This window comes from Homo sapiens, chromosome 10, assembly GCF_000001405.40.
Source record: "Homo sapiens chromosome 10, GRCh38.p14 Primary Assembly".
Lineage (NCBI taxonomy): Eukaryota > Metazoa > Chordata > Mammalia > Primates > Hominidae > Homo > Homo sapiens.
The window spans coordinates 117,025,420-117,052,610 of NC_000010.11; the positions used below are offsets into that span (position 1 = coordinate 117,025,420).

A 27,191-nucleotide genomic window follows, 5' to 3' on the forward strand; every position below is an offset into this window, starting at 1 on the left:
GGCTAAAGTGCTCTGGGACCCTACATAAACTTGAAAGGCAATCTAAGGACACAAAGGCAGCACCTCCTAAGTGAGTCCTAGTGCTGAACTGGGCCCAGAAATACTGAACTGGTGGTAGGGGTTGAGGGACACACAACCTACTGAGACACCAGCCAGGGCAGCTAAGGGAGTGTCAGCATCACCCTTCCCCTAACCCCAGGCTGCACATCTCAAGGCTCCAAGAGAGACCCCTTCCCACCGCTTGAGGAGAGGAGAGGAGAGGGAAAAGTGGGGAGAACTTTGTCTTGCATCTTGGATACCAGCTCAGCCACAGTAGGTTGTGGCTCCCATAAGAGTCATGAGGACACCTTTCCAGGCCCTAGCTCCCAGATGACATTTCTAGACAAACCCTAGGCCAAAAGGGAACCTGCTGCCTTGAAGGAAAGGATGCAGTCCTAGCTGGATCCATCACCTACTAACTGAAGAGCCCTTGGGCCTGAATAACCAGCAGCAATACCCAGATACTATGTCGAGGGCCTTGGGTGAGACTCTGAGATGTGCTGGCTTCAGATGAAACTCAGCACATTCCCAGGTGTGGTGGCTAAGGGTAAGACTCCTTCAACTTGAGAAAAGCAGAGGGAAAACTTAAGGGGACTGTGTCTTGCACCTTAGGTACCAGCTCAGCCACAGGGAGGTAGAGCACCAAGTAGGCTCCTGGGGTCCCTGATTCCAGGTCTTGGCTCTTAGATGGCATTACTGAACCTGACCTACGTCACAGAGGAGCCCACTGCCTGAAAGTTTGAGTCCCAGGACAAGGATCATTCACCACAAGCTGACTGAAAAGCCCTTCAGCCTTAGGGAACATTGACAGTAGTCTGGCAGTACTCCCTGTGGGCCTGTGGTGGTAGTGGTCACGGGATGAGGCTCCTCTGCCTTTGGAAAGGAGCAGAAAGAGTGGGAAGGACTCAGTCTTGTGATTTCAGTACCAGCTCAGCCACAGTACAATAGAAATCCAGATAGACTTCTTTTTTTTTTTTTTTTGAGACAGTGTTTCACTCTTGTTGCCCAGGCTGGAATTCAATGTCATAATCTCAGCTCACTGCAACCTCCTTCTCCCGAATTCAAGCAATTCTCCTGCCTCAGCCTCCCAAGTAGCTTGGATTACAGGTGTGCACCACTATGCCCAGCTAATTTTGTATTTTTAGTAGAGACAGGGTTTCACCATGTTGGTCAGGCTGGTGTCAATCTCCTGACCTCAAGTGATCCACCTGCCTAAGCCTCCCAAAGTGCTGGGATTACAGGCATGAGCCACCACGCCTGGTCAAATTCCAGATAGACTTCTAAGGCTTTTGACTCTAGTCCCCAGCTCCCAGATGGCATCTCTGGGCCTGCCCAGGGCTGGGGAGAACTCACCATCCTGAAGGAAAGGACAGAGGCCTGGCTGGCTTTGCCACCTGCTGATTGTAGAGACCCAGGGCCTTGAGTGAACATAGGTGGTAGCCAGGGAGTGGGTGTAGCAGACCTTGGGTGAGGAGCAGGCCTATGCTGACTTCTTTGACCCAGCACAGTCCCAATGATGTTGGCTACAAGGGTGCTTGTGTCACTTCCCCTCCAGCTCCAGGTGGCTCAGAACAGAGAGAGACTCCATTTGTTTGGCAGAAAGTAAGGGAAGAAAACAAGAGTTTCTGCCTGTTAATCCAGAGAATTCTTCTGGACCTTGTCCAAGACCATTGATATAGTTTGGATCTGAATCCCCACCCAAATCTAATGTTCAGTTGGAATCCCCAACATTGGAGGGGGGGCCTGGTTGGAGGTGACTGGCTCATGGGACTGGTTTCTCATGAATAGTTTAGCACCATCCCTTTGATGCTGTTCTTGGGACAGTGAGTTCTCATGAGATCTGGTCATTTAAAAGAGTGTGGCACTTCCCTCTCACTTCTTGCTCCTGCTGTGGCCACAGGAAGTGCCAGCTTCTCCTCCACTGCCCACTGAGGCCTCCCCAGAAGCTGAGCAGATACCAGCATCATGCTTCCTGTACAGCATGTGGAACCATGAGCCAAGCAATCCTTTTTTTTTAAATAAATTACCCAGTCTCAGGCATTTCTTTTTTTTTCTTTTGAGACAGAGTCTCGTTCTGTAGCACAGGCTGGAGTGCAGTGGTGTGATGTTGGCTCACTACAAGCTCTGCCTCCCAGGTTCATGCCATTCTCCTGCCTCAGCCTCCCAAGTAGCTGGGACTACAGGCACCCGCCACCACACCCAGCTAATTTTTTGTATTTTTAGAAGAGACGGGGTTTCACCATGTTAGCCAGGATGGTCTCGATCTCCTGACCTTGTGATCCGCCTGTCTCAGCCTTCCAAAGTGCTGGCATTACAGGCGTGAGCCACCGCACCTGGCCCAGGCATTTCTTTATAGCAATATGAAAACAGACTAATATAGGAAGTTGGTACCAAGAGGTGGGGCATTGCTATAAAGACAACTGAAAATGTGGAAGCACCTTTGGAACTGGGTAATGTGCAGAGCTTGGAAGAGTTTGGAGGGCTCAGAAGAAGACAGGAAGATGAGGGAATGTTTGCAACTTCCTAGAGACTTGTTGAATGGTCGTGGCCAAATTGCTGATAGTGGTATTGACAGTGAAATCCAGGCTGAGGAGGCCTCAGATTAAAATGAGGAACTTACTGGGAACTGGAGCAAAGGTCATTTTTTGTTAGGCCTTAGCAAAGAACTTGGCTACATTGTGTCCCCGCCCTATGGATCTGTGGAACTTTGAACTTGAGAGTGATGATTTGGGGTATATGGTGAAAGAAATTTCTAAGCAGAAAACTATTCAAGATGTAACCAGGCTGCTTCTAATAGCCTTTGTTCATATGTGTGAGAAAAGAAATGACCTAAAGTTGGAACTTATTTTAAAGGGGAAGCAGAGCATAAAAGTTTGGAAAATTTGCAGCCTGGCCATGTAGTAGTAAATAAAGGCCCACTTTCAGGGGAGGAATTCCTGCAGTCTGTAGAAATTTGTATAAGTAAAAAGGAGCCAAGTGCTAGCAGCCAAGACAATGGAAAAAAGGCCTCAAAGGCATTTCAGAGAACTTTGTGGCAGCCCCTCCCATCACAGGCACAGAGGCCTAGGATGACTGAATGATTTCCTGGGCCAGGCCCAGTGCTCCACTGCCCTGGCACAGCCTCAAAATATGGCTCCCTACATCCCGCTCTCCAGTTCCACCCATGGTTCAAAGGGGCCCAGGTACAACCTGGGCCACTTCTTTAGAGGGCCACTGCTTTAGACGGTGGAAGCTGCAAGCCTTGGCAGTTCCCACGTGGTGTTAAGCCTGCAGGTGCACAGAATGCAAAAGTTGAGGCTTGGGAGCCTCTGCCTAGATTTCAGAGGATGCAGGAAAAAGCCTGGGTATCTAAGCAGAAGCCTGCTGCAGGGGTGGAGCCCTCATGGAGAACCTCTACTAAGGCAATGAAGAGGGGAAATGAGGGATTGGAATGCAGAGCCCCCACTGAGGCACTGCCTGATGGAGCAGTGAGAAGAGGACCACTGCCTTCCAGACCTCAGAATGGCAGACCCACCAGCAGCTTGCACACTCAATCTGGAAATATCCACCAGCACTCAATGCCAGCCCATGAGAGCAGCCACCAAGGCCAAAACTCTGCAAAGCCACAGGGGCAGAGCTGCCCAAGGCCTTGGGAGTCCACCTCTTATATCAGTGTGCCCTGGATGTGGGACGTGGAGTCAAAGGAGATTATTTTGGATCTTTAAGACCTAATGACTGCCCTGCTGGGTTTCAGACTTGCATGGGGCCTGTGGCTCCTTTTTTATGGCCAATGCCTCCCTTTTGGAATGGGAATATTTACCTAATGTTTATACCTCCATTGTATCTTGGAAGAAACTAACTTGTTTCTGATTTTACAGGCTTATATGGGGAAGGGACTTCCCTTGTCTCAGAGGAGACTTTGGGCTTTTGACTTTTGAGTTAATGCTGGAATGAGTTATGACCTTGGGGATTGTTGAGAAGGCATGATGGTATTTTGCAATGTGAGAAGTACATGAGATTTGGGAAGGTCTGGGGCAGAATGATATGGTTTGGATCCATGTCCTCACCCAAATCTCATGTTCAATTGGAATGCTGAATGTTGGAGGTGGGGCCTGGTGGGAGGTGATTGAATCATGGGGGCAGTTTCTCATGAAAGGTTTAGCACCATCCCCTTGATGCTGTCCTCAGGATAGTGAGTGCTCGTGAGCTCTGGTCATTTAAAAGTATGTGGCACCTCCCTCCACCTTCTTGCTCCTGCTCCAGCCTTCTGAAGTGCTGGCTCCCCCATCGCTTTCTGCCATGATTGCAAGTTTCCTGAGGCCTCCCCAGAAACTGAGCAGATACCAGCATCATGCTTCCTGTATAGCCTGTGATACCATGAGCCAGTTAAACCTTTCTTTCTTTCTTTCTCTCTCTCTCTCTCCCTCCCTCCCTCTCTCTCTGTCTCTCTCTCTTTCTTTTTTTTTTTTTTTGTGTCTTAGTCTGTTGCCAGGCTGGAGTGCAATGGTGTCAACTATCTTGGCTCACTGCAACCTCCGCCTCCCAGGTTCAAGCTATTCTCCTGTCTCAGCCTCCCAAGTGTCTGGGCCTACAGGTGCATGCCATCACGCCCGGCTAATTTTTGTATTTTTAGTAGAGACGGGGTTTCACCATGTTGGCCAGAATGGTCTTGATCTCTTGACCTCGTGATCTGCCCACCTTGGCCTCCCAAAGTGCTGGGATTACAGGCATAAGCCACCATGCCCGACCCTTTTCTTTTTAAATTACCTAGTCTCAGGTATTTATAGCAATGTGAGAATGACGTAATACAACCAATAATGTGGTATCTCTATGAATGTGTGAGAACTACAGCATTGTTGGGCTTTGTGTGCCCCCTAAAGCAGATACAGGTTAGATCACAACACCCAAGTCCTTTTGAATATCTGGAAACCTTTCCCAAGAAGGACAGGTATAAACAAGCCCAGATTGAGAAGACTACAATAAATACCTAACTGTTCAATGCCCAGACACAGACAAGTATCTACAAGTATCAAGACCATCCAGGGAAACAGGACATCACCACATGAACTAAATAATGCACCAGGAACCAATTCTAGAAAAACAGATATATTGCCTTTCAGACACAGAATCCAAAATAGCCATTTTGAGGAAACTCAAAGAAATTCAAGATAACACAGAGAAGGAATTCAGAATACTATCAGACCAATTTAACAAAGTGATTGTAATAATTAGAAAGAATCAAGCAGAAATCCTAGACTGAAAAATACAATTGGCATTCTGAAGAATGCATCAGTCTTTTAGTAGCAGAATTGATCAAGCAGAAGAAAGAATTAGTGAACTTGAAGACAGGCTATTTGAAAATACTTGGCAGAGGAGATAAAAGGAAAAAGAATAAAAAACAATAAAACACATGTACAGAATCTAGAAAATAGCCTCAAAAGGGCAAATCTAAGAGTTATAGGTCTTAAAGAAGAGGTAGAAAAAAATATGGGGTAGAAAGTTTATTCAAAGGGATAATAATAGAGGACTTCCCAAACCTAGAGAAATATATCAATATCCAAGTACAAGAAGGTTATAGAACACCAAGCAGATTTAACCTAAAGAAGACTACCTCAAGGCATTTAATAATCAAACTCCCAAAGGTCAAGGACAAATAAAGGATCCTAAAAGCAGCAAGAGAAGAGAAACAAATAACATACAATGGAGCTCCAATATGCCTAGTAGCACTTTTTGGTGGAAACCTTACAGGTCAGGAGAGAGTGACATACTTAAATTGCTGAAGAAAAAAAGTTTTACCTGAGAATAGTATATCCAGTAAAAATATCCTTCAAATGTGATGGACAAATAAGCTTTCCCAGACAAACAAAAGCTGAGGGATTTTGTCAACACCAGACCTGCCCTACAAGAAATTCTAAAGGGAATACTTCAGTCAGAAAGAAAAGTATGTTAATGAGCAATAAGAAATCCTCTGAAGGTACAAAACTCACTGCTAATAATAAGTACACAGAAAAACAGAATATTATAACACTGTAACTGCAGTGTATAAACTACTCTTATTTCTAGTAAAACGACTAAATGATGAACAAATCAAAAATAATAACTACAAATTTTTAAGACATAGTACAATAACATATAAATAGAAAGAGCAAAAAGTTTAAAAGAGGGGGATAGAGTCTGTAGTTTCTTTTTGCTTGTTGCTTCTATTGTTTATTTATGCAAACAGGGTTAAGTTGTTATCAGCTTAAAACAATGGGTATTAAGATAGTATTTGCAAGCCTCATGGCAACTTCAAACCAAAAACCATACAACAGATACACAAAATATGTAAGAAGCAAGACACTAAATCATATCACCAGACAAAACCATCTTCACTAAAAGGAAGAAAGGAAGTAAAGAATGAAGGAAAAGAAGACCACAAAACAACCAGAAAACAAATAACAAAACGGCAGGAGTAAATATTTACTTATCAATAATAACAGTGAATGTAAATGGACTAAACTCCAATCAAAAGACATAGAGTGGCTAAATGGATAAGAAAACAAGACCCAATGATCTGTTGCCTACAAGAAACAAACTTCATCCATAAAGACACACATAGACTGAAAATAAAGGGATTAAAAAAAATTCCATCCAAATGGAAACCAAAAAGGAGCAGAAGTAGCTATACTTACATCATGCAAAATAGATTTCAAGACAAAAATTGTAAGAACAGACAAAGACGGTCACTATATAATGATAAAGGGGTCAACTCAGCAAGAAGATGTAACAATTTTTTTTTCTTTTTGAGACTGAGTCTCACTCTGTCGCCCAGGCTGGAGTGCAGTGGCGCGATCTTGGCTCACTGCAACCTCCGCCTCCTGGGTTCACGCCATTCTCCTGCCTCAGCTTCCTGAGTAGCTGGGACTACAGGCACCTACCACCGTGCCCGGCTAATTTTTTATATTTTTAGTAGAGACGGGGGTTTCACTGTGTTAGCCAGGATGGTCTCAATCTCCTGACTTTTTGATCTGCCCGCCTCAGCCTCCCAAAGTGCTGGGATTACAGACATGAGCCACTGCACCCAGCCATATAACAATTTTAAATAAACATGCACCCAACATTGATAAATAAAGCCAATATTATTAGAGCTAAAGTGAGAGACAGGCCCCAGTACAATAATAGCTGGAGAATTCAACACTCCACTTTCAGCACTGGACAGATCTAACAGACAGAAAACCCATAAAGAAACATCAGACTTAATCTGCACTGTAGACCCAATGGATATTTACAGAACATTTCATCAGTCAGCTGCAGAATACACATTCTTTTCCTCAGCACATGGATCATTCTCAAAGATAGACCATATGTTAGATCACAAAACAAGTCTTAAAACATTAAAAAAACTGAACTAATGTCAAGCATCTTCTCTGACCACAATGGAATAAAACTAAAAATCAGTAACAAGAGGAATTTTGGAAACTATACAAATACATGTAAATTAATCAATATGCTCCTGAATGACCAGTGGGTCAATGAAGAAATTAAGAAGGAAATTGAAAAATTTCTCAAAACAAATAACAATGGAAACAGAACATACAAAAACCTATGGGACAGAGCAAAAGCATTTCCAAGAAGGAAATTTATAGCTGTAAGTGCCTGCCTACATCAAAAAAGAAGAAAAATTTCAAATAATGTAATGATTCATCTTAAATAACTAGAAAAGCAAGAGCAAACCAAACCCAAAATTAGTAGAAGAAAAGAAATAATAAAAACCTGAGCAGACATAAATGGAATTGAAATGAAAAAAATACAAAAGATTGATGAAACAAAAAGTTTTTTTTTAAACTTAAACCAAATTGACAAACCTTTAGCCAGACTAAGAAAAAATGAGAGAAGATCCAAATAAACAAAATCAGAATGAAAAAGGAGACATTACAACTGATACTGCAGAAATTCAAAGGATCATTAGTGGATACTATGAGCAACTACATGCCAGTAAATTGGAAAATCTAGAAGAAATGGACAAATTCCTAGACACATACAATCTACCAAGACTGAATCATGAAGAAATCCAAAACCTGAACAGACCAAATAACAAGTAACAAGATCGAAGCTATAATAAAAGGTCTCCCAGTAAAGAAAACCTGGGACCTGTTGGCTTCACTGCTGAATTCTACAAAACACTTAAAGAAGAACTAATATCAATCCTACTCAAAGGACTCCAGAAAATAGAGGAGGGAATACTTCCAAAATCATTCTATGAGGGCAGTATTACCCTGATATTGAAACCAGACAAAGGCACATCAAAAAAAAGGAAACTACAGGCCAATGTTTCTGATGACTATTGATAAAAAATCCTCAACAAAATACTAGCAAACCAAATTCAACAATACATTAATAAGATCATTCATCATGACCAAGTGGGATTTATTCCTGGGATGCAATAATAGTTCAAAATATACAAGTCAATCAATGTGATACATCATATCACAGAATGAATGACAAAAACCATACGATCATTTCAATTGATGCTGAAAAAGCATTTGATGAAATTCAACATCCCTTCATGAGAAAAACTCTAAAAAACCGGGTATAGAAGGAACATACCTCAACATAATAAAAGCCATATGTGACTTTCATATGACTCACAGCTGGTATCATACTGAATGGGGAAAAAAATGAAAGCCTTTCTTCTAAGATCTGGAACACAACAAAGATTCCCACTTCCACCACTATTATTCAACATAGTACTGAAAGTCCTAGCTACAGCAATTAGATTAGAGAAAGAAACAAAGGGCATCCAAACTGGAAAGGAAGAAGTCAAATTGTCCTTGTTTGCAGATGCTGTAATCTTATATTTGGAGAAACCTAAAGACTCTATCAGTTCTAATAGTTTTTTGGTAAATAAATTCAGTAAAGTTGCAGGATACAAAATCAACATATGGCCGGGCATGGTGGTTCACGCCTGTAATCCCAGCACTCTGGGGAGCAAAGGCAGGTGTGTTACCTGAGGTCAGGAGTTCAAGACCAGCCTGGCCAACAAGGTGAAACCCCATCTCTACTAAAATACAAAAATTAGTTGGGTGTGGTGGCACATGCCTCTAATCCCAGTTACTCAGGAGGCTGAGGCAGGAGAATCGCTTGAACCTGGGAGGTGGAGGTTGCAGTGAGCTGAGATTGTACCACTGAACTCTAGCCTGGGCAACAGAGCAAGACTCCATCTTAAAAAAAAAAAAATCAACATAGAAAAATCAGTGGCATTTTTTATGCCATCAGCAAACAATCTTTAAGAGAAATAAAAAAGTAATCTCACATACAATAGCCACAAATATAATTAAATATCTAGGAATTAACCAAAGAAGTGAAAGATCTCTATAATATAAACCATAAACACTGGTGAAATAAATTGAAGAGGACACAAAAAATGGAAAGATATTCTATATTCATGAATTAGAATAATCAATATTGTTAAAATGTCCATACTACCCAAAGCAATCTACAGATTCAATGCAATCCCTCTCAGAATACCAATGACATTGTTCACAGAAATAGAAAAAAAAATCCTCAAATGTATGTGGAACCACAAAAGATCCAGAATAGCCAAAGCTATCCTAAGCTAGAAGAACAAAACTGGAGGAATCACATTATCTGACTTCTAATTATACTATGGGGCTATAGTAACCAAAACAGCATGGTCCTGGCAAAACAACAACAACAAATAAATAGACCATTGGTACAGGATAGAGAACCCAGAAACAAATCCACACACCTACAGTGAACTCATTTTCAACAAAGGTGCCAAGAACATACACTGGGGAAAAGACAGTCTCTTCAATAAATGGTATTGGGATAACTGGATATCCATATGCAGAAGAATGAAACTAGACCCTTATCTCTCTCCAGACACAAAAATCAAATCAAAATAGATTAAAGAGTTAAATCTAAGACCTTAAACTGTGAAACTGACAAAAGAAACATTGGGGAAACTCTCTAGGACACTGGTCTGAGCAAAAATTTCTTGAGTAATATCCTATAAACACAGGCAACCAAAGCACAAATAAACAAATGGAATCACAAAAAGCTTTTGCACAACAAAGGAAACAATTAACAAAGTGAAGAGACAACTCACAGAATGGGAGAAAATATTTGCAAACTACCCATCTGACGGGGATTAATAACCAGAATATGTAAGGAGCTCAAACAACTCTATAGGAAAAAAAATCTAATAATATGATTTAAAAATGGGCAAAAATGGCCAGACATGGTGGCTCACGTCTGTAATCCCAGCACTTTGGGAGGCTGAGGTAGGCGTCAAGGTCAGGAGTTCGAGACCAGACTGACCAACATGGAGAAACCCCGTCTCTACTAAAAATATAAAAATTAGCCGGGTGTGGTAGCACATGCCTGTAAATCCCAGCTACTCAGGAGGCTGAGGCAGGAGAATCGCTTGAACCTGGGAGGTGGAGGTTCTGGTGAGCCGAGATTGCACCACTGCACTCCAGCCTGGGGAACAAGAGCGAAACTCCATCTCAAAAAAAAAAAAAAAAAAAAGGCAAAAGACTTGAATCGACATTTCTCAGAAGAAGAAATACAAATGTCAAATAGGCATATGAAAAGGTGCTCAACATCACTGATCATCAGAGACATGCAAATCAAAACTACAATAAGATTTCATCTTAACCACAGTTAAAATGGCTTTTATCCAAAGGGGAGCAATAACAAATGCTGACAAGGATGTGAAGAAAAGGGAACCCTCATACACTGCTGGGGGATGTAAATTTAGTACAACCACTATGGAGAACAGTTTGGAGTTTCCTCAAAAAACTAAAAAAAGAGCTACCATATGATCCAGCAATCCCACTGCTGGGTATATACCCAAAAGAAAAAAAATCAGTATATTAAAGACATATCTGCACTCTCATGTTTGTTGCAGCACTGTTTGCAATAGCCAAGATTTGGAAGCAATGTAAGTGTTCCATCAACAGATGAATGGATAAAGAAAATGTGCTACTTATACACAATGGAGTACTATTCAGCCACAAAAAAGAATGAGATCCTGTCATTTGCAACAACACTGATGGAACTGGAACTCATGTTAAGTGAAATAAGCTAGGCACAGAAAGACAAACATCACATGCTCTCACTTATTTGTAAATCTAAAACTCAAAACAATTGAACTCATGGAGATAATAGAATAGTTGCTAGAGGCTGGGAAGAGTAGTGGAGTGGGTGGGGGGAAATAAGGATAGTTAATGGGTACAAAAAAATAATTAGAATGAACAAGACCTACTATTTGATAGCACAACAGGGCTACTAGAGTCAATAATAATTTAATTGTACTTTTAAAAATAACTATAAGAGTATAATAGAATTGTTTGTAACATAAAGGATAAATGATTGAGGGGATGGATACCCCATGTTACATAATGTGGCTATTATGCATTACATGCTTGTATCAAAACAATTCATATACCCCATAAATATATATACCTTCTATGTATGCACAAAAAACAATAAATGGACGACCTTATACAGATTTAGATGGAATACAACTGTCTTTGTTTGCAGATGACATGATTGTCTATGTAGAAAATCCAAAAGAATCAACAAAAATCTCCTAGAACTAATAAGCATTTATAGCAAGGTTGCAGGATACAAGGTTAATATACGAAAGTCAATCACTTTCCTATATGCCAGCAATGAATAAGTGGATTTTGACATTTAAGACAATATCATTTATAGCTAGACATCATGGTTCATGCCTGTAGTCCCAGTGCTTGGGAGGCTGAGATGGGAGGATTGCTTGAGCCTAGGAGTTAGGGTCCAGCCTGGGCAACATAGTGAGACTTCCCCTCCAAAGAAAACAAAACAAAAAACCCTAATACTATTTACATTAGCACTCAATAAAATACTTAGAATGAAATACTTAGGTATAAATCTAACAAAATATGTATGAGATCTATATAAGGAAAACTAAAAACTGATGAAAGAAATCAAAGAACTTAATAAATGGAGAGATATTCCATGTGCAAGGATAGGAAGACTCAATATTGTCAAAATGTCAGATCTTCCTAAGTTGATCAATGCAATACCAATCAAAATTCTGGCAAGTTATTACACAGACATTGACAAGCTGATCTAAAGCTTATAAAGAGAGGCAAAAGACCCAAAATAGCCAATATCATATTGAAGGATAAGAACGCAGTTGGAAGACTGACACTACCCAGCTTTAAAACTTACCATAAAGCTACAATAGTGAAGACAGTGTGATACTGGTGAAAGAACAGACAAATAAATCAGTAAACCAGAGGCTGGGTGTGGTGGCTCACATCTGCAATCCCAGCACTTTGGGAGGCCAAGACGGGTGGATCACAAGATCAGGAGTTCGAGACCGTCCTGGCCAATATGGTGAAACCCCATCTCTACTAAAAATACAAAAATTAGCTGGGTGTGGTGGCACATGCTTATATTCCCAGGTACTTGGGGAGGTGAGGCAGGATAATTGTTTGAACTGGGAGGCAGAACTTGCAGTGAGCCGAGATCATGCCACTGCACTCCAGCCTGGTGACAGAGCGAGACTTCAAAAAAAAAAAAAAAAAAAAAAATCAGTGAACCAGAAAGGATAGCCTGGAAAATAGACTTAAATGTAAAACGTAAAACCATAAAACTCCAAGAAGATAACATAGAAGAAACTATAGATGAGCTTGGGTTTGGAGATGACTTTTTATACTTTTTGTTTTTTGAGACAGGGTCATGCTCTGTCACCCAGGATGGCATGCAGTGGCATGATCATAGCTCACTGCAACCTTGACCTTCTGGGCTCAAGCGATCCTCCCACCTCAGCCTCCCAAGTAGCTGGGACTACAGACATGCCACCATACCCAGCTATTTTTTTTTTTTTTTAGTAGTGTTGAGGTCTCACTATGTTGCCCAGGCTGGTCTTGAATTCCTGGGCTCAAGAGATCCTCCTGCCTCGGCCTCCCAAAATGCTGGGATTACAGGCATGAGCCAATGCACCCAGCCGCAATGACTTTTTAGATACAAAACCAAAGGCATGCTATGAAAGAAAGAATTGATAAACTGGACTGCATTAAAAAAAAAATTCTGTTTTGTGAAAACCTCTGTCAAGAGAATGAAAACAAGACTGGAAGAAAATATTTGCAAAAGACATCTTATAAAGGGCTGTTATCCAAAATATACAAAGAACTCTTAAAACTCAACAATAAGAAAACAAACAACTCAGTGAATAAATGGGACAAAGACTTTAACAGACACCTAACCAAAGAAGATATTTAGATGGCAAATATGCATATGAAAAGAAGATCTACATCAAATATCATCAGGGAAATGCAAATTTAAAAAACGACAACGTGATATCACTACACACCTGTTTTAGAATGGCCAAAATCCAGAACACTGACGATACCAAATGCTGATGAGGATGTGAAGCAACAAGAACTGTCATTCATTGATGGTGAGAATGCAAAATAATACAGCCACTTTGGAAGACGGTTTGGTAGTTCTTACGAAACTAAACATACTCCTACCATATGATCCAGCATCGTCCTCTTTGGTATTTACCCAAAAAGAGTTAAAAACTTGTATCCCACCCAAAACCTGCACAAATATATGTATACCAGCTTTATTCACAAATGTCAAAAGCTGGAGGCACCAAGATGTCCTTCAGTACATGAGTGATAAATGAACTGTGGTACATCCAGACAATGGAATATTATTCAGCACTAAAAAGAAAGGAGCATCAACCCATGAAAAGACATGGAGGAAATTTAAATGCATATTATCTAGTGAAATAAGCCAATCTGAAAAGACTTACTTACTGTAAGTGACATTCTGGAAAAGGCAAAACTAGGGAAATAGTCAAATGATCAGTTGTTGCCAGAGGTAATGGGGTGGTGAGGGATGAATAGGCAGAGCATAGAGGATTTTTAGGGCAGGGACTTTACTCTGTATGATACTGTATTGGTGGATACGTATCATTATACATTTGTCCAAACCCATAGGCTCTACAACATCTATAGTGAACCTTAGTGTAAACTATGGACTATGGGTGATAATGATATATACCCAACAATGTAGGTTCATTAATTGTAATAAATGTATCACTCTGATAGGGGATGTTAAAAATGGGGAATCTCGGCCGGGCGCAGTGGCTCACGCCTATAATCCCAGCACTTTGGGAGGCTGAGGGGGCAGATCACGAGGTCAGGAGATCAAGACCATCCTGGTTAACACGGTGAAAACCCGTCTCTACTAAAAATACAAAAAATTAGCCGGGCGTGGTGGTGGGCACCTGTAGTCCCAGCTACTCGGGAGGCTGAGGTGGGAGAATGGCTTGAACCCAGGAGGCAGAGCTTGCAGTGAGCCAAGATTGCGCCCCTGCACTCCAGCCTGGGCAACAGAGTGAGACTCCATCAAAAAAAAAAAAAAAGAAAGAAAGAAAAAGGGGGAATCTCTCCATGTGTGAGAGCAGACGGTGTTTGGGGAATCTCTTACATTCCATTCAATTTTGCTGCAAATCTAAAACTGCTCTGAAAAATAGTCTACTAAAAAAAAGCAGGGCCTTCATAGTAAAAATTGTAAAACATTACTGGGACAAATTAAAGAAAGCTGAAATAGAGAGCTGTACAATATTCATGATGTGGAAGACAGTATTGTTAAGATATCCATCCTTCCTAAACTGATCAATAGATTGAATACAGCTTAAATCAAAATCCCAGAAAACTGTTTTTAGATACTGAAAACCTGATTTGAAAATTTGTATAGAAATACAAAGGACTTAGGGTAGCCAAGACAATCTTTAAGAAGAAGAATGGAGGACTTACATTACCTGATTTCTAGATCTGATATAAAGGTATAGTAATTAAGGAATTATTTAAGGATAAGAAAAATAAGTAAGTGAAAACAGAGGATCCAGAAATTGATCCATACATAATAGTCAACTAATTTACAACAGTGACACCAATGAAATTCAATAGCAAAAAGAAAATCTTTTCATCAAATGGTAATGGAATTGTAAATTTTTCAGAAATTGACATACCACTACATGCCTTTTAGAATGGCTAAAATAAAATTAAAAGAATGTGTAAATATTGGTCCAGTAATTATACCAAATGTACCATACTAATGTAAGATGCTAATAATAGGGAAAACTGAGTGTGAACTATATGGGAACTCTCATGAATCTAAAACGGTTTTTTAAAACAGACTCATTTTTTAATAGAATGCATACGCTTTAGGGCAAGGGCTTTATTATGCTGCTTTAAACTGCTCAATTGACTTTTCATTACTTTTGTGGTGTTTACTATGGTCTGAACAGTTTACTTCACCTAAAATCTAAGTTGTAACAATGTTTAAAAAAATTTTTTTTTGGATTTTGTCACTTTTTTATTGAAATAGTTTAACAAACATGATTCATTGAAAATAATATTCTCATGCCATATTAAAATAGTTTTGTAATTTTATTTTTATACTCAACTCTTTTTCTTTTATTATATTTTATTTTATTTTATCTTAAAATTTTTTTATTATACTTTAAGTTTTAAGGTACATATGCACAACGTGCAGGTTAGTTACATATGTACACATGTGCCATGTTGGTGTGCTGCACCTAGTAACTCGTCATTTAACATTAGGTATATCTCCAAATGCTATCCCTCCCACCCCCGCCACCCCACAACAGGCCCCGGTGTTTAAAATGTTTTGTGTTACTTATTTCTGCAGCAAGCTCACACACCTCTTGAGGACAAGGCCTGTTTCTCTAAGTGATTTCTTTTTATGACACTCAGTACTCAGTCTAGCATTATACCTAAGTATGTCTTCGTTAATATATTTTCCCAATCTAAGTATATCTACTGAAATGCCAAAGGAAATTCAACAGAAAGTTGGGTTTTTAATGTGACTCCTCGAATTTAGTAGCTACCTATTTTTATTAAAATCAATCTTCAATGCTGAAGAAAAACTAGATGAGTAAATAAGTGATACTATTGAAAAATCAATATGTAGCATCACGGAGTCCAATACTCTATTTTTGGAACTATTTTAAAACCTGCAACATGTGTTTTCTTTTCTGCATTTCAATTTTTTCAGTGACAGGCATTGCTTCATACGAGGATAGCATATACACAGGCTTATAGTTCAAGAGGGAAAGGAGGTTCACTGGTTTAATATTCTCACCCTTTGTCTTGAAGAGTTACATTGGTTCACCTTGGTTAGGTGAACGTGTAACTTTCCGAAGCACTTGTAATTTTCTCACAATTCTAGAGAAAAATTAGTGTGCCTCTCATTGTCATAAATATCTACCGCTAGCCCATCACGTGAAGAGACGCTTAAAATCATTAGTATTTTAAAGATTATACAGATAGAACACTATATTATTCTTTTCAAAGATTCACCAACACTGAGTTATTTGTTCGAAATCATCTACTTAAATTTTAAAATTCCTTTTACTTAAAGAACCAACAGAATGATATTCCCAATTTTACATAAGAGGAAAATAAGATCCACAAAAATTAAATGATATGTTCTCATTCACTTAGCTACTTGTCAGAACTGCAGTTTCATGCCCTATGCTACTCAGTTAATTTAGTTTTTGAGTATGTATGTTAGTGGAGGAAATACATTAAGGAAGAGGAAGCAGGTAAGGAGAAAGAAAGGGAAAGCAAAAGTGCATTTCAAGTGTTTTGTAACATATCTGCCATTTTTCCTTTGATATTTACAGGCCATCTTTACCAGGAATGGTAGCTCACTAGCTGCAAAACCAAACAGCCCTTTGTCTTTGAAGCCACCCTTCAAAAGTAGCACTTTCTATGTAATCAGAGAAATGTCATGCTCAGAAGCAAATTTATCCCTTCATAATCTGCTCCAACTGAATGTCTGTGGTGGATCTCAAGTTATTCCACAGAAAAGAATATATATTCCATGGTGCTCAAGTCTGAGGTTCTCCTTATCCTCCTTCTGCTCCCCTCTCTCCTAATACTGGAAGTCCCACACCAACATTTTTAACCATCTTTCAGTAGTTACATTTGATAACCATTGAGTCTCTTCATCTGACTAACTTCTGTAGATATAAAGATAAATACCTCCCTTTTTGTCATGAAAAGCATCCAATCTAGTGAAAAACATACTCCAATACAGCTCTCAAGGGGATGTGCTTCCATTATATTCATGACCAGTAGCACCTATGCAACACTTCCTTTTTTTTTTGAGTCTCTCTCTGCTGCCCAGGCTGGAGTGCAGTGGTGCAATCTTGGCTCACTGCAACCTCCACCTCCCAGGTTCAAGCGATTCTCCTGTCTCAAGCTCTTAAGTAGCTGGGACTACAGGCGTACACCACCACACCCAGCTAATTTTTGTATTTTTAGTAGAGACGGGGTTTCACCATATTTCTTAGGCTGGTCACGAACTCCTGACCTCAGGTGATCCACCCGCCTCAGCCTCCCAAAGTGCTGGGATTACAGGCGTTTGCCATTGCTCCCGGCCCTTTTTCTATTCTATTAACTAATGTGGCATTAATAAACACAAATATTTAACCTGTCTGAAGTCTAAAACTCTCTGTAAGAACAGGTCATTGAAAGCAGTATTTTAAAATGAAGGACACCATAAGTCTATTCTTATTTTTCTATATTTTTTCAAACTTATTTTACATGATTTTCAGACAATTTCCATCTCCTAAAAGTGGATCTTTATATTTATTTATTTATTTATTTATTTATTTTTAAATGGAGTCTCGCTCTGTCGCCCAGGCTGGAGTGCAGTGGCACAATCTCAGCTCACTTCAACCTCCGCCTCCCAGGTTCGCGCCATTCTCCTGTCTCAGCCTCCCGAGTAGCTGGGACTACAGGTGCCCACCACCACGCCTGGCTAATTTTTTTGTATTTTTAGTAGAGACAGGGTTTCACCATGTTAGCCAGGATGGATCTTTATTGTTTAATGGGTACAGATATGTTAGTTTAGAAAGATGGAAAAAGTTCTGGAGACCAATGGTGGTGATGGTTGTACTACAATGTTAATATACTTAATGTCACAAAACTGCATACTTAAAAATGATTAAAATGGTAAACTTTGTTATGAAAACATTATCACAATTCTTTTCTTTTTAATGACTCAATAAAGAAGAGAGGGAGGCCTGGCATGGTGGCTCATGCCTGTAATCCCAGCACATTGGTAGGCTGAGGCAGGAAGACTGCTTGAGCCCAGGAGTTTGAGACCAGTCTGGGCAACATAGGGAGATCCCATCTCTACAAAAAATGTAAAACATTAGCCAGGCATGGTGGCACATGCCTGTAGTCCCAGCTATTCAGGAAGCTGAGCTGGGAGTATCACTTGGGCCCTGGAGGTGGAGGCTGCAGTAAGCTGTGATCATGCTACTGCACTCCAGCCTGGGCAACAGAGCAAGACCCTGTCTCAATAAATAAATAAATAAACAAACAAACAAATAAATAAATAAACAAGGGGCTTTTAGGGGAAAATAAAATATAAAATGAGAATTGTATATATGGAAAAGAATGTGCAATAAGGGGAAATTTAAATGTTTCAATATTATAAAAATTAAATGATTCTCCAGGAGACAGCTTAGTTCTAAAATTATTTTATTAATCTGTAGTTCAAATGCCAGGTTGAAAATAGATTTTAAAACTATTTTTTAAGTTACGAAACTAATATCTGCTCTTTATTTTCATTCAAGTATAGCAATAAAGTAAGTATTTTTCTCTTCCTCCAACCTCTCCACTCTACTCAAGGGTAACTACTATTATGTCTCATAGATATTCTCCTGGAAATGTTAATACATATTCTTATACACATATTTTTATAAATATGGCTCATTTATACTATTCTATAATCTGTTTTACTTAACAATATATCTTGGAGATCTTTCCATATTATCACATTGATTTACCTTATTTTTTAAAGCTACATAGTGTTCAACTATATGTATGTACATTACTTACATACTCACCTACACGAAAGCCTTATAACTATTGGAAAAAAAAGGATTTAGAAACTGTGTAACATTGTTAACAATGATGTAATTTGTGTCTGAATAAGATAAGCTATGTCCAATTTCTTTCTCAAAACTGCAATAAATACATACTGTGAAACACCCATTCTTGAAATCTGTGTAGAGTATTTTCTATATCAATTTGAAATCAAAGAAGTAATTTAGTAGGGAGTCTATAAGTACCCAAATAACAGGACAAAAAGCATTTAGCTTGGATTATTTTTCTGACCTAACAGAGTGGAAACATCAGAATTAAAAAATATACCTCCAAAAACCTCCTTGAAAAGCTGAGAATAGATGTTAAACACCTATGTTGAAGTGAAAAGTATGGTCAAAATATTTTGATGGTAATGCCTAACAATGAGAGACGATGAAATTTCATTGTTGCCTTATAACATTTTCAATGAAAGTCCTAATTTTGGCATATTAAGGTGCTAAAAAGAAAGGATGTTTCTGAGCAATTTGTGTCATTTTAAAGCTTAGCTATTAAGTTTCTTAATACTTTAACAGTTTAATATGTGCATATATATGCAGAGCAAGTATTTAGATCATCATCAAGCAATTAATATTTTAATTAAGATTAGCAGGATATACTGACAACTTACAAAACTTACAAAATCCATCTTTGATGAGTATTAGTGCCAAGCCTTTCTATAAGAAATGGAAATTTGTATTATTTCTGAACTAGGCAGCATGTTCACAACATTCATTTATGGAGAATAATCTGGAATGGTATCAGCAGAAATAAAAGTAACAAACTCTGGAAATCTTCTCCTTAAAAGCAATGAGAACACTGACAAAATTGTTGAAATCAACATTTTCAGAATTCTGGAAAATAAGCAAAAGTGTGCAACAATCTGATGGGCATTTATATTTAAAAATGACTTGATCTTGGTAAGAACAATGAGCTGAGAAACATAAAGGTCACAGCCCAGAGGCACAGGCTCACGAAAAAGCTGAGAACTAGTCACAGGACTATAGCACACTTCTCCTCTCCCCACATCTTACCACCACATCTACATTATTCAGGGACCTACTAATACAAGGCAATTACATATGAAATAATTCCACATCCCAGACCTTATTTAAGAAGAAGTCTTCAGGAAAGCCCATATACAACAGTTGAAACAAAAACAAGGACACTAGAAGAAATGTTAGCTTCTGACACATACAACTATGGCAAACAGTAAACACAGCCTAACTTCTAGTCAGATTAACCTCATGCCAAAGGCCTATTTACCTCAATTCCTTTTACTCAGTACATCATGTCCAGCTTTGAACAGAAAATTCCAAGGCATACTAAAAGACAATAAAACATGCAGCTTAAAGAGACAGAGTAAGCATCACAACCAGACTCAGCTTTTTAAATTTTCAGACTGGTATTTAAAGTAACCAGACTGGTATTTAAAGAACCCTTAATATGCTAAGGGTTCTAATGAAAAAAGTGGATGGCATACAATAACAGATGGGTAAGGTAAGCAGACAGATAAAAACTCTAAGAAGGTATCAAAAAATGCTAGAAATAAAAAATACTGTATCAGAAATGAAAACTGTCTTTCACAGGCTCATCAATAAACCAGATACAACTGAGGAAAGAATCAATGTGCTTTATAATTGGAACACCAGGAGAAGAAAGAGGGAAAGAAACAGAAGAAATATTTGAAGGAATAATGCTGGGGGATTTTCCAAAATTAATGACAGACACAATGCTGTAGATCCAGGAAGCTCAGAGAACACCAACCCAGATAAACACACACACACAAAAACTATACCTAGACATATACTCAAACTGCAAAAAATACAAAGAAGCTAGGGTAAAAAATGGCCATTTAGGACATATAAAGGTACTCAACACCATGAGTCATTAGGTAAATGCAAATCAAAACCACAATGAAATACTTCACACCCATGAAGATGGCTATAATAAAAAAACAGACAACAAGAGTTGAGGAGAATGTGGAGAAATTGGAAGCATCATACATTGCCAGTGGGAATATTAAATAGTGTAACCATTTTGGAAAACAGTTTGGCAGCAACTCCCAAAGTTAAACATAGAGTTGTCATATGACCCAGAACTTCCTCTGCTATGTATATACCTAAGAAAACTGAAAACATATGTACACACAAAAACATGAATATTCATAGTAGTATTGTTCATAAGAGTCAAGAACTAAAAACAACCCAAATATCCATCAATTGGTAAATGGATAAACAAAATATGATATATCCATACAGTGAAATAATATTTGGCCAGGAATGAAGTTCCTACACATGCTACATCATCCAACCTTGAAAATGTTATGCTAAGAGAAAGAAGTCACATGTTATATGATTCCATTTACATAAAATGTCCAAAATAGGACAGTCCATAGAGACAATAATTAGATGAGTAGTTGCCAGGAGCTGGGGAAAAGAGGGAATGAGAAATGACTGAGAGTGGGTATGGGGTTTCTTTCTGGGATAATGAAAATATTCTGAAATTAGATAATGGTGATAGTTGTACAACTTTGTAAATATATTAGAAACCACTTAATTGCATACTTTAAAAGAGTGAAGTTCTGGCAGTAAAAAAAAAGAGAAAAAATGAAAAAACAAAAGAGTGAATTTATGATATGTAAATTATTTTTCAAAAAATATATATATTTTTTGAGACAGAGTCTCACTCTGTCGCCCAGGCTGGAGTGCAGTGGCACGATCTCAGCACACTGCAACCTCTGCCTCCCAGGATCAAGTGATTCTCCTACTTTAGCTTCCTGAGTAGCTGGGATTACAGGTGCCCAGCACCATGCCTGGCTAATTTTTTTGTATTTTTGGTAGAGGTGAGGTTTCACCATCTTGGCCAGGCTGGTCTTGAACTCCTGACCTCGTGATCCACCCGCCTCAGCCTCCCAAAGTGCTGGGATTACAGGCGTGAGCCACCATGCCCAGCCCTCAAAAATATTTTTTTTTAAAAATAATCTATGTCATTCAACACTGAGAAATGATTAATCATCTATTATGTACCAGGCACTATTAGATCTGGGTGATAAGAGACATGAATATAATATGGTCCTAACTCTCAAATAAACCAGTCTGTTATTGAAAGCAAACGTATCAACGATAATTGCGATACAGTTTGACGGGGCTGTGATGGTGTTAATTCTCAGATACAGTAGTTGAGATAAAGCAGGCAATGATTAACTCTCTCTGGTACAATTAAGGTAGCCTTCCTTGAAGAATGGAAATTTCAGGCCTGGCCTAAAAGAATAAATAATAGTTTGCAGGAGGTATGCAGGGAAAGAAAACTCCAGTCACTGCAAAAGCATACACAAATACATAAAGACCAAAAAAAAAAAAAAGTCTCTCTTTTTTTTTGTATTTTTAGTAGAGATGGGGTTTCACCATGTTGGCCAGACTGGTCTTGAACTCTGGACCTCAAATGATCCACCCACCTCAGCCTCCCAAAATGTTGGGATTATAGGCATGAGCCAAAAAAAAAAAAAAATTATTAAAAGTCAGTTCAATTATGTAGTCTTAACTAACTCTCTGAAACCAAAGAGAGTTTCCTTCCCCAAATTAGATGACATCAGAAACACTGTGAACAAACTACTGAAGATCAGTTTTTATAAGTGGAGGTGCATTTTGCAGCTGTAAAAAGGGCATAGTCCGGTGAAAAGAGGGATCCATAAGTCATCACATATATAAACAAACCCGAATAGTAAACACCATAAATAAGAGCATGGCAGTAACTCTTGGAGTATATAATTAACATTATGAATAAGATTAAGTGGCTCTGTGTGCTGAGGTAATGTAAATATCTCCATCAACTCAATCAGACCTAAATAATGACTCCAGCATAACTTATCTGGATAAATAAAAGCTCTTATTGTTGTCCTATTCTGACAACTAACTAATCAACACTCATTCACAAAGAGAATATAACTATGATTAAATATAAATTCTAGATAGGAAAGATTCATTTTACAACCTTCCCAGCTGATTAGACACATCGGCACGGTCTTGTTACCTACCCCCTTCTCTGAGGCAGACTTCATCAATCTGGAAAATGAAGGCAGACCACTGATTGGAGGGCAAACCTGAAAAGGATTAAACACTTAGCATGGCATTCTAAAATACTGTAATTACAGTGCAATTAAGCATACTGCATATTAAACGTGCAACTCTGAAATGTGTTCAGACTCCCCAATTATAACTAGTTATTCTTCAAAGAATTTTGCCGCCCACATTGAACTTCTGTAGTGCTTCTTTGTTATAATTCAGGTGTGACAGTCACTAATATATCTAAAAGGACAGTTAATAAAAAGTAGACATTCTTTACTGTAAACCTAACACATGCATGCCAGGTAATACCCAGCCATTAGCACTAATTATCATGTTTCAGACAGGCAGACCTATTATGCAATTGGACTTTGCCCTCTTTAAAATATATTTAATGGTCAACTAGGAAGAGACAGTGAGATTGAGGCAAAAGTAAAGGCCTAGGTGGGAATCTAAAAACCTGTATCAGTTCTTGATTTTCCCAACTGGGCAAGTAACCTAGCCTTTCGGAGTCTCAATTGGTTCATCTGTCAATTGGGGACCATATCTATCAAGGGTTTGGTGATGACCAAAAGTCCTAACTAACAGAACTCTAAAAAATTTTATCACTCTACCCAAAGCTAAGGTGCTACTCCATTATGGGCTCAGATTGTATCACAAAAGAGTGATCAATGGAAAGGGACAGACAGAGATGTTTGCAGTCATGGTTCAGGTCAGGGATGATCTTCAAAACATCCAACCACAGCCTTAACCAATCAGAAACAAGTCAGCTTTAAGCAACTGGAATAGCCTGTAGAGTGCAGACCAGCTGAGGATCACCCTAGGTTCAAGGTGGCAAACACTTTTGAAAATAGGATAGAAAATGGCAGAACTTGTTGGAAAAAAACAAACAAACAACAACAACAACAAAAAAAACAAAAAACCTCATAGAATTTTAACCTAGCTTTGTGTTAATGGTAGTAGAGTTTCTATAACAAGGGAGATAGTGGTGATGCTTGAAATTATTTGTTTAATTATTTGTCATCTTTGCCAGACAGAGCCATAAAGAGAAGGAGTATGTCTGTTTAAACATCTCTATATTCCTAGCCAGCACAATGACTGGTATAGGACCGCAGTAAATGTTTGTTGAATGAATGAATGGGTAAATGAATGAACAAACAAAGGAATGAACAGATAGTCTAGTACTATTCTGCAATAGCTAGACCAATCCAGACATCTACGTTCTAGAAACCATGATTTAAGAGAGGCTTGGATGAAGGAAAGGGGCCACAGTTGAGGAAATTAAGGGCCATTAGACTAGGTACTGAAAAATTCCATGATGCAATAAGTATCTTAAATGTTTTTCGGTATGAAAATACACATATCAAAATATGTGGGACATAGCTAAAGTAGCACTGAGAGGGAAATTTATACTGCTAAATGCTTATATTAGAAAATAGGAAAGGTCTGAAATCAATAATCTAAATAATCATCTCAAGAAAATAGAAAAAGAAGGGCAAATCCAAAGGAAGTGGAAGGAAGGAAATAAGATAGGAACAGAAATAAATGAAACTGAAAACAATAGAGAATATTAGCTAGATGTAGTGGTATGAGCCTGTAGTTTCAGCTACTCAAGAGGCTGAGGCAGGAGAATTGCTTGAGCCCAGGAGTTCAAGGCCATCCTGGGCAACACAGCAAGACCCCATGTCTAACAAAAATAGAACGATAACAATAGAGAATATCAATAAAACAAAGCCTTCTTCATTGGAAAACAATCAATAAAACTGATAAACCTCTAGCAAGACTGATAAAGATAAAAAGATAAAATATATAAATCATCAGTATCAGGAATAATACAGAAGATTTCACTACAGCCATTAAAATTATAACAGTTTAAACAACTAATAGATTAAAAAAGAAATCACGAGAATGACTGGAAATTCTTTGAGATGAATGAAAATAAAATACAATATATAAAAACATATGGATGCAGTGAAAGCAGTGCTCAGAGGGAAATTCATAGCCTACATTAGCAAAAAATCTTAGGTCAATAATCTAATTGTACACCTTAATTAGCAAGAAAAAGAAGAGCAAACCAAACCCAAAGTTAGAACAAGTAAGGAAATAATCAATATTAGAGTGCAAATAAATGAAATCGACAATTAGAAGAACAAAATAATTGGTAAAACCAAAAGTTAATTGTTTGAAAAGATCAACAAAATGGACAAACCTTAGCTAGAATGACTAAAAAAAAAAAGGAGAGAGATTCAATTACTAAAATCAAATATGAAACTGAGAACAGGCTGGGCATGGTGACACAGCCCAGGCTTGGTGGCTCGCACCTGTAATCCCAACACTTTGGGAGGCCAAGGCAGGAGCATCACTTGAACCCAGGAGTTTGAGGCAGCCTAGGCAATATAGTAAGACTTCGTCTCTACAAAAAAATAAAAATAAAAATTAGCTGGGTGTGGTGGCACCTGCCTGTAGTCCTAGCTACTGAGGAAGCTAAGCAGGAGGATCGCTTGAGCCCAAGAGATTGAGGCTGCAGTGATGTCTGATCGCACTCCTGCACTACAGTCTGGGTGACAGAGTGAGATCCTGTCTCAAAAAAACAAATGGGAACATTATTATTAAGTTTACATAAATAAAAGGATTATAAGGGAATACAATAAACTACTATAAACCAAAATATTAGACAGCCAGGATGAAATGGACAAAGTCCTAGAAACACAAACTACCACAACTGACTCAAGAAGAAATAGAAAATCTCAATAGACCTATAACATACAAACAGATTGAATCAATAACCAAAAGTCACCACAAATCACCCAACAAAAAACAAGCTGAGGATTAAATGACTTCATTGGTGAATTCTACTGAACATCTGAAGAAGAATTAACACTAATCTTTTTCAAATACTTCAAAAAAATAGAAGAGGAGGAAATACATCCTGACTCATTCCAAGAAGCCAGCATTACCTTGACACCAAGCCAGACAAAGACAATGCAAGAAAAGAAACTGCAGACCAATATCCCTTATGAACACAGAAGCAAAAATCCTCGACAAAATACTAGTATACCAAATCCAGAAGCTCATTAGAATAATTATACATGATGATAAAGCAGATTCATCCCAGGAATGCACAGGTAGTTCAACATAGGAAATACAATCAATATAATATACCACATTAGTAGAATAGAGAGGAGGAACCATATGATCTCAATTGATCTAGTAAAAGCCTTTGACAAAACCCAACACCCTTTCATGATAAAAAAAAAAATTCACTATTCTAGTGATAACAGGGAATTTCCTCAACAGGTTAAAGGACATTCATGAAAGACCTACAACTGACTTCATATACTCAATGGTGAAATATTGAAAGATTTCCCACTGTAATCAGAACAAGACATGGATGATAGCTTTTACTACTTCTATTCAACGTTGCACTGGAAATCCTAGACAGAATAATTAGGCAAGGAAAAGAAATAAAAGTCATCCAAATTGGAAAGGCAGAAGTAAAACTACCTTTATTTTCAAATGACATAATCATATATATATATATATATATATAGAAAAGCCTAAGGAATACACAAAGAAAATTTCTAGAGCTAATAAACAAATTCACCAAAAATCTATCATAAAAAAATAAACATGTAAAAATCTATTGAATTACTATAAACTAGCAATAAGTAATTTAAGAAGAAATGTTTTAAAATTCCTTTTATAATAGCATCAAAAGGATCAAAATACTTAGGAATAAATTTACCCAAGGAGATGTAAGATTTGTATACTAAAAATGATAAAACATTACTAAAAGAAAATTTTAAAACCTAAATAAATGAGAAGACAATCCATGTTCATGTACTAGAAGACTTACTATTGTTAAGATGGCAGTGTTCCCCAAAGCTATCTATATATTCAATGCAATCCCTAGCAAAATTCCAATGGCATTTTTTTGCAGAAATAGAGAAGCCATTCTAAAATACATATGAAATGGCACAGGACCCCAGATAGCCAAAACAATCTTGAATAAGAAAAACAAAGTTGGAGGACTCACACTTCCCAATTTCCTAACTTACTACAAAGCTACAGTAAGAAAAAAAATTGAAACTGGTATAAGGATGGATATATAGATCGATGGAATAGAATTGAAAGGCAA

The 27,191-nt window shown here is 38.3% G+C and overlaps 1 protein-coding gene across 1 annotated transcript in view; it reads right to left on the reverse strand.

Annotated features, from left to right (window-relative positions):
- Positions 1–27,191, reverse strand: part of SHTN1 (shootin 1) — a 245,110-nt gene that overhangs the window by 143,943 nt on the left and 73,976 nt on the right. Inside the window, exon 2 of the mRNA NM_001258300.1 lies at positions 23,026–23,091. The gene's annotated coding sequence lies outside the window, so the exon portion shown is untranslated. The remainder of the gene's footprint in view (positions 1–23,025; positions 23,092–27,191) is intronic.